Genomic DNA, 10013 nt, shown 5'->3' on the forward strand with positions numbered 1-10013 from the left:
TTTTGTTGTTGGTAGTGGTGGTGTTCAGTAGTTGCCTCTGTTTGCTCAGCATTTATTTTTATGTTTTACAAAAGAATGTGTATTATGTCATGTTATAATTGAAAGCCACCAGGATAAGCAGCCTAAATCCAATTCCTCTTCATTTCAGTAGTCAAATTTCACATTTCATTATGACAGAATTAATTTGATGGCCAAATCTGGTGTGTTACTGCTTTCCAGCTAGATTTGCTTCCAATTTAACATCCTAACTATGCTTGTAAAATAGACAATAAAACAGTCTTTTCTGACTTGGGAAATACTCTTTATTCTTCATTTCTCTCTGCTCCACTGTAACATTTTAGCTGAGTTTTATGGAACAATCACTTTCCTCATCTAATTACTGCAATTCCCTGGTAGATGGCCTCCCTTGCCCTGCAACAGCAAAATTATCATAAATACACAATTCCACTGCCAGCATCTCATCTTGCACATGCGTCAGTGAGCAGAGCTAGGTTTTCCCCTCTCTAAATTGTGTTCTTGCTAAATTAACAGTTTTCATGTGAACCACTCAAGACTTTTTCCGACATTCCAACAAATACCCAAGAAAGTTAATCTTGCCTCATAGGTACTTTTCAGGCTCAGCTCCTAGTGCTTACACATAACTGTGCATACAGATGAACACTGAGCCAGAAGATGCCTAGTTGAATCCATAGGTACCAAGACTTTTCCTATATGGACTAGTTAAGGATAGCTCTTCAAAGGAGATCATAGCAAAAAATTATAGGTGCAGCAGCACCAACTTCACAGATCAGCTGCAAATCTTCATTTAACAAAAAACTTTACCCAGGTTATGCTAACGAATGAAAACTTGCTTTAGAAATCAACACAGAAAAGAATCTGGTCTACAATCCAGATATGGTTTCAGAATTGAAGAGGGAGCTGCTGATTCCAGCAAAGACCTGGACCTGAGGAGGCCTTAGAATCAAGCCAAGGCCAAGAATATCCTGAAGAGGAGATTCCAAGCAGAGTAGCCAGACAGTGTCTTACCACTTACACCTTCTTCCAATCACACACTATCATCAAGGTATTTATAAACAACTCTAAGTCTGGGATTAAGTCCAGAGAACAACTTGCTAAAGAATTTGGGAATAGGAAGGGGAACATCACACACCGGGGACTGTTGTGGGGTGGGGAGAGAGGGGAGGGATAGCATTAGGAGATATACCTAATGTTAAATGACGAGTTAATGGGTGCAGCACACCAACATGGCACATGTATACATATGTAACTAACCTGCACGTTGTGCACATGTACCCTAAAACTTAAAATATAATAATAATAAAATTAAAAAAAAAAGAATTTGGGAATACATAGTCAAGCGTCCAAATTTCTTTTCAAAATCAAAGATCTAGATTTCATGTCCAGAAAAAAGGGAATGATAAGACCTGAGAACAAAGAAAAAGCCAGGGACAAAATCTCCAAGGTAGGTTTGAGGTTTAGAAGCTACGCAAGGTAGCACCAACCTCACTAGCAACTGTCTCATTTCTCTGGAACCAAAACAAGGTGGACACAAAGACAAGTTCAGAGTACTAGATGTCATTAGCTTAGGCTCTAGATCTTTCTTTCACACTTCTGGAAATGTACATCTCCTCTGGGACTGCAAGCTGAGCCCTCTGCAGATGGTGAACAGGACAGCAGGATGCAGACAGGTACAAAAGGCACCATGTAGTCCAGCTGACATAGCCTGGCTTGAGAGTGCAGCAGACCTTGAGAACAATAAAAATAAACTTAATAATATCAGTTTTTAGTTGTTATAATTATGACTGATTAAGCAAAATTCATCAATAGAAGTTAAAAACATTGAATGAATACTTGACGAGGAAACAAAATTATACATTGTCTCAAAGAATCTCCTCATTGATTACTGATTAATTACAAAAGGAAAATTGGTAATATTGTAGAAACCTGATTGACTTCACCTTACCTAAAGGACTGAAATTCACGTCACAGTAATGGCACAAACCTACATGAGGTCTCTCCTGATATAATGTACTAAGAAAAACACAATATCTCTTTTGTAGTATTATTGCCAAAAAAGTACATAAGCTGAATCTAATCATGACAAAACATGAATCAAACCCAAACTGAGTGACAGTCTTTTCAAAGTAACATCCCTGTATTCTTCAACAGGAGTGGAATAATAGAAATGAACAAACAGTAGGACTCAGGAGATATTTAGGAAGTACATCTCCCAAGGACTTTTCTTCTATGTGTAGTATGTGCCACCATTTATGTGCAGGGGAAGAAAGATAACACATTCAGAGGTCTATTTGTGCCTAAAATTTCTTTCCAAAGATGATCAAGAAATTGTTAATATTGGTTATCTTCAGAGAAGGGAGGTAGAGGACTGGGTTGGGAGACAGAAGAGTTTTTCACTGTAATCTTTTTATCCTATTTGAACGTTTAAAAATCATTTCAATGTATTATATAAAGTTTTTTTTTAACTTCAAAAGGTGATTTTCAAACATAAGGTTAAATGAAAGAAACCAGACACAAAAAGAATGCATATTGTATTATTTCATTTACATAAATTTCAAAAGTAACCAAAACTCATCCATGGTACTAGATACCAGGCTATGGATTATTGTCGCCCTGAGATGGACACACTGGTTGGGAGAAGCACAGGGCAACTCTGGGGGCCTGGTCAATTCAGTTTCTTAGGCTGCTCTGGGTATGCGTACGTGTGCAATTGGAGAATTGGAGAATTCGGCAAGCTGTATCCTGGTGACCTATGCAGTGTACTCTATGTGTGTTATACTTCAACTTTTTAAGAGTTTGTGATTTGTTTTAAAAAAAAGAAAAGAGAAAAAACAAAGCCTAACTACATTGCAAAGCCGTTATTTGTCCCTTTCTTCAAAGTGAAGGTAAAGAGCCATTGGCTCTTAACCAGGTAAATTAGTTATTCTTTTCAAAGCAAGAAATCACCAACTTTATAAGGGGAGTGTACAAATTGATCTTCACTTATATTTCCAGTCTAATTTACTGCCACTTCCAACGATGAATTTTATGTTTCCATTATTTTGCAGACTTGTAGTCCCCTGAATATGTATGCACTTCCATGTACCTGTGCCACTAGGAAACGCCTTCTCACTGCTGAAATGTTGTTCTCTTTACTTGTCTTCTATTCAATTTACATTCGCCCTGAAATTTCAGCTCAATCAACTTGCTTTGTAAAGCCTACCCTGCTTTAACCCCTCACACACTGGTTAAGGCACTTTTCATATTGCATTAAAATGCTTGGGTTACATGTCTTACCTCCTTCACGAAATTGGTCATTAGGCTTTGAAGTAAGCAATGTGGGTTCAAGCTGGGCGCAGTGGCTCATGCCTGTAAACCCAGCACTTTGGAAGGTCGAGGATCACTTGAGGCCAGGAGTTTGAGACCAGATTGGGCAACATAGCGAGACCTCATCTCTACAAAAAATTTAAAAATTTAGCTTGGCGTAGTGTCACATGCCTATAGTCCTAGCTACTCAGGAGGCTGAGACAGGAGGATAATTTGAGCTTGAGAGTCAAAGTTACAATAAGCTATGATCACACTGCTGTACTCCAGCCTGGGCGACAGAGCCGATCCCAACTCAATGAAATAAAATACAGTTGAATTAAATTAAACAGTAAAATAAAGTAAATAAAATGAAAGGGAAATGTGGGTTCAAGCCCAAACTATACTTCTTAATAATTTTGCATTTGTTGACAAATAACTTAAACATGCAGTTTAAAAGCTTGGGATCCAGCATCAAACAAAATTCAGGATTGGCTTCTGGCTCCATTACTAAATTGCTATTTAACTTCTGGCCAGTTTCTTAACCCTGTAATTCTCAGTTCGCTCCTCAGTACAGTAAAATACTGACCTCATCAGATTGTTGTGAGGATTAAATGAGATGACACGTTCTCTCAGTCACATAGTGAATACACAGAAAGGTAGCCATGTTATGAAAATGCTGAGTCTCACTTTTCTCATCTCTAATATGGGAACATCAATCTTCTATTCACAAGGCTGTTGTGAACAAAGAAACAACATGTTGCCGGACACTTTATTTGTGCTCAATAAGTTTTATTGAATGAATAAATAATTAATGGTGTATGTAGAGTGTCTGCTGAAATGTACTGATGATGGCTTGCTTTGTTCTGATAAGAGGTTATTATGGGAAGAGCTAAAGTTATGGGATTAGAGTCACACATCCCTTGAACAGGCAAAGAATTTCCCTCACTCAGACCTCTAACATTCTGAACATAAAATACTAATGAATGTCATTCACATGTTTTCAAATATGTAGTACCCAGTGAATTCCACATTTTTTAAAATAGGTATTCCTGGAGGCTAACTACTTACTGATTAATTTTGTTAATTGGTCCAATAATTACAACATTCTTTTTTATTTCCTCAGATAAAATCTACTGTTTTAGTGTAATTGTTAGTTAAATATGCTTTTAGATTGCCAGATCAAGTGATGGGAAACAATATTTTGAGTCTCAAATGACTGTTTGAAAATAAACTTTTGTAAACTAACCTGTTTGTATGGAATATATATATGTCTTCTATAGACACACATCATACACACACACACGCACACACACAGAGAGAGAGAGAGAAAATTTTAAAACTTGATGGATTTTTCTAAAAATGAACTTTGCAATGAATTCGTAGAAATTTTCTTTAAGATTATGTCTGCATTAAAAATGAGAAAAAAACCCTGTTAAAAAAGGATGAAAATGTTTTCTATAGAACACTTGTCCATCTGCATCAAAAGCATTTTATTTCCCCAGCTGCTATTAGTTTATATTGAATGCATATTCAGATGCGCTTCTACATACTCAGTCATCTTTTTTTTTCTTCAATGCACGTTGAGCAATGTTTGAAACAGGATTAGTTTTCAGCTTAACTGAATATGGCATTTTGATAAATTCAAGGAAATGGCTAACACAAGTATATTCAGAATGCATTATTTACAAAACTGAGCATTTTTTCTGAATCCTTTTATATTTGTTTTCTTTCTTTTTGTTCTTTAATACGTATCTTTCATGATAAATGTAAAGAAATTTCGATAAGCTTTGAAAAATGTTGATTTCAAGATATTGGACCTGAACTCAAATTAATGTTTTCATTAGCTTATAATTCTGAGCATCTTCTATATTATTAGCAATTATTTATAAATTAGTTGTGACCTTACAAGATCCTGATCGAGTAGGCATGATTATCTCTTATTTTAAGCTAGTTTCTTCAGAAAATTTATTGTGATGAGAAATAAATATGTAAGTAAATAAATATTGATATTCACAACTTCTTACTTTCCTCTTTCTAATATTTGATCTTTGTTTTCTTGATTACTGGACCTTGTCATATTCACTAAGAGGATGGGTGAAAGGGAGAATTGAGAGGAACCAAGGAAGATTTCATTAGTTTCTAATGGAATAGAAACAATATTAATGTAGAACAGAAAGAAAAAGGCCTGAAATGAGAAAGGAGTAAGGGAGGCCTATAAAACAAGGTAAGGTAGAATGGAGAGAATTTTCAAAGATTTTTGGAGGGGAGTGAAGGAGGAAGTAAGGATGGGGGAAGATAGAGAGAGAGAGAGACAATTTGGGTTTGGAGAAAACTGTCATCATAACCTTGTAAAGCTCATTGGACACTGTGTTAAGTTTTTATTACTATTGCAACAGATTATCACAAAGTTGGCAGTTTAAAATAACACACATTTATTATCATATAGTTTGGAAAATCTAAAATCAGTCTCACTGGGTTAAAGTGAAGGTATAAGCAGGGCTGCATTTCTTCTGGACCTGCTAGGAGACTATACACATCCTTGCCCTTTCTAGCTTTGAGATGGCCTGCATTCCCTGGCTTGTGGTCCCTTACATCTTCAGAGCCAGCGGTGGCTGGTGGAGTCTCACATTGTAATATTCTGACACTGGCTGTTCTGCCTCCCTCCTCTACATTTAAGGCCCTTTGAAGCTACACTGGAGCCACCCATATACTCCAGAATAGTCTCATTATTTTAAGGCTATCTGATAACAATCTTATTCTCACTTGGAACCTTTATTCTTCTTTGCCATGCCACAGGTCCTGGGAATTAGAATATGGACATCTTGGAGCCACTATTCTGCCTACCACAGACATTAAACCTATATCCTTTATTTTACACAGGACAAAACTGTGCCCTGAAAAATAGAATTACTTCCCCAAGATAAACATTCTATAATAATAAGCACCGATGCAAAAATATTCTGCCACTTGACTCATTAAAAAGCATGTAGAAATTCAATTTAACTTCAATTATTTTTGGTGGCTTTGTTTTCTCCATAAAGAATATGTATTAGTCTGTTCTCATGCTGCGAATAAAGACATACCTGAGACTGGGTAATTTAGAAAGGAAACAGGATTAATTGACTCAGAGCTCTGCAGGGCTGGGGAGGCCTCAGGAAACTTACAATCATGACAGAAGGGGAAGAAAACACATCCTTCTTCACATGGTGGCAGCAAGGAAAAGTGCAGAGCGATGGGGGGAGAAGACCCTTATAAAACTATCAGATCTCATGAGAACTAACTCACTAACCCAAGAACAGGATGGGGGAAACCACCCCCATGATTCAGTTATCTCCACCTGGTCCCTCCCGTGACATGGGGATTATGGGAACTACAATTCAAGATGAGATTTGGGTGGGGACACAGCCAAAACTAACAGGATAGTATATGCTTATAATCAATGATAAGTATTTATGTTTTTCATGACTTTTTATTATACATGTCTTTGATTTCCGTGCACTTTTTCTGTGGAATTTTTTTTCTTATAGAGTTATAGTGAGAAACAAGTGATTTACTATAGCTCTCTTGCACCATGGAATACTACAACTGTTAGTTTCATGTCTTCAATTGAGGACTGCATTACTTGAGGACAGGTGTTCTTCTCTTATTGATCTCAATTTACACATTTTATTTTATAGTTCTTGTTAGAATGTGTACAGGTAAGCAGTTAAATACTCTTTAAGTGCATGTATGAATGTAGGACAGAAGGAATGAGATAGCAATAAAATCCCTGGATGACAAGTAAATAGATCTTACTGGTTTCTAGTCCAAGCCTTGCCACCAATGTTTGGTGTTGCCTTTCAATAACCCATCAGAAATGATGCAGCACAACTGGATCTTTTTCAAGTTTCTTTTTTCCTAGTTCTAAAGTTCTGTGATTTTAAAGGTGTTGGAAACACTTTTTCGATCTCCCACCCAAGGTGGCATATAAATGCCATCTATGGGAATGTGATTTTGATTTTACTGAGCAGCAAGATTATCAAGATCCCATCATTCATGAAAAGCAAAGCTAAGTCAGTCAGTGGGAGGAAGAGAAACCAAAAGACCCAGAAAAAAAGAACATGGGAAAAAAAGTAAAGGTAAATTTCAATATCTGTGCCTTTTCTTTTCTACAATGAAGAGTACAATGGCTAATAGTTTGCTAATTTCTCATATTTTTGTTTGCTTGACAAATTGTTTGAAGGTAAGGATAATATCGTACATCCTCCCCATTCCATGGGCTTGGTCTGTACACATTTAATTCTGAGTCCTGGCACATACGGAAACTGGGTTAACAAAAGTTGCCCCTGATAATGTGGCTTCAGGTAAGAAAAATTAAAAAAAAACAGACTCCAACACAAAGATATGTTGAAGTATTGTGATAAAGCTTGATTATCTTGGATGTTCCATTTTCAGTATTGAAAACTTTTTCCCACCACAACTTGATATCTATATATTCACTCAAGTGCCCAAATGCATACACTTGTGGCTCACTGACACACATGAACATGCACAAACACATACATACCTCATAGAGTAAAACAAGAGGAAAATGAATGATCATTTCTATTCATAGGCTGAGGGAAAAATGAGGTCAGATTCTGGACAAAAGTGGTAAACATATGCAGTGGTCCCAAGGAACAGACCTATGGATCTCTGTATGTCCAGTTCATCTGCACTTCCAAACCCATTATTCCCATACACTCTTTATAACATTGGCAATCACAACTTGAACCTGAAACAAACACTGTTCTATAACATTGTTTTTGCTACAGTTACTATGAGATTGACTAGCAATGTTTAAAAATAGATCTTGTTGCCGGTCATTTTCATTATCTGGAATGAAGCACTGACTTCACACTTGATTTTTGCAAGCAGATCTGTTCATTTGTTCATACAATAGTCACCAAAAAACAATTGATTTGGCAAAGGTCTTATTTTTGTAGATGACTTTTTATTTCACTTTTGTATATGTGCCTTATTTCACTTTTGTTATTGTCTTCATTTCACCCCATGCAGTGTTAACAAGAAGGGCTTACTGTCTTTATTGTAAAGAAAGTGAGATGTGACTTTTCATTAGCATTAACAGCAATTTAACCTATCACCTATCATATCCTGGTCTACATGCTCAGGACAGAGAGAGCCCGGTTTATCATACCGGGCCTCCAGGCATCTTCCCAAATGTATAAGGAATCAAGGGCTCAGTGGGTCAGAATTAACAATGCCCAGAATTGCCACTTTCTGAGTGTGTCCCAAGTGGCTTGTTTCCCTGACTGTAAATCGCCTATCTTTCTCTTTTGTGTGCAGAGATCTTTGGAAATATTGAGATTCAATGTATACACTGGAGCTTGAGCTAAAAAACGAGAAATAATGACAAACTGCAAAAAAAGTCACCATGATTATTTTAACAAAATATCCTCTGGTTTCTTCCAGTGACGTCTATATGAACATAAGTCTACTAGTCTAAATTTGAAACTTTTCTCTAATTATGATGGCTTAGGTTTACAAAGTGACACATGCTTCAAGGTGCTGTGCTCCTTACTGCCTCTCTGCTTTCACTGATGTCCTGTTTTTTTTTGGCCTTTTCTTGTTTTGCCCATCTTTGAAGGCCCAGCTTATGTATGTAGCCTTCTGTCAATTAAATCAAGGCAAGATACTCAATTGCCTGGGTTATCAATTTGCCCTGTGTTCCTTATTCCCCATTCCTTGTCCTATTCAAGCTTGTGTCCTTTTGACTGGTTGCGTGTGCCTCTCATCTTGCTGGAGCTCTTTGAGATCAGGGACTGTGACTCATTCATCTAAACATGGAAGGATGTGATTTTCTGTTTTCTTCCTCAACTTGTTTCCTGCCCACTCTTATTTCTCATGGGAAAAGAGATTTTAGAAGAATATTAGGTATTCCAGATTTCTATAGAGAATGATTTTTTTCCTTTTCTTATTTTTTAATATTTTTAGGTACATAGTATATATATATATAAATATATATACATGTATTTTAAATACATGTATATATAATACATGTATATACAATATATATACATATATACTAGATACTATATACATATACTATATATATAGTATATATATATAGTAAATTGCCTATCATTCTCTTTTGTGTGCAGAGATCTTTGGAAATATTGAGATTCAATGTATACACTGGAGCTTGAGCTAAAAAACAAGAAATAATGACAAACTGCAAAAAAAGTCACCATAATCATCTTAACAAAATATCCTCCGGTTTCTTCCAGTGACATCTATATGAACATGTCTACTAGTCTAAATTTGAAACTTTTCTCTAATTAGGATGGCTACTAGTAATATATATATATACTACTAGTAGTATGTGTATATACGTATATACACTATATATATATACTATATACTATATATATAGTATATATGTATATGTACTCATCCCCTCAAGCATTTATCCTTCGAGTTACAAACAATCCAATTACACTCGTTAAGTTATTTTAAAAATGTACAGTTTATTGACTGTAGTCACCCTATTGTACCATCAAATAATAGGTCTTATTCATTCTTTCTATGCCCATTAACCATTCTTATTAACAAAGCAGAGGCTTAAAGACGCTCCTCACTGAAGATTACCTATTGCCATCCAAATTGGAACCAGGGTGAATCCTAACCATCTCAATTATAAATAATAGGTTCGAGGTTAAGTTAGAGTCTTT

At 36.0% G+C, this 10013-nt stretch overlaps 1 pseudogene; it reads left to right on the top strand.

The window, feature by feature from the left end:
• Window positions 806-1540, top strand: DUXAP11 (double homeobox A pseudogene 11; annotated as a pseudogene).

This window comes from Homo sapiens, chromosome 16 (assembly GCF_000001405.40).
Source record: "Homo sapiens chromosome 16, GRCh38.p14 Primary Assembly".
Classification (NCBI taxonomy): domain Eukaryota; kingdom Metazoa; phylum Chordata; class Mammalia; order Primates; family Hominidae; genus Homo; species Homo sapiens.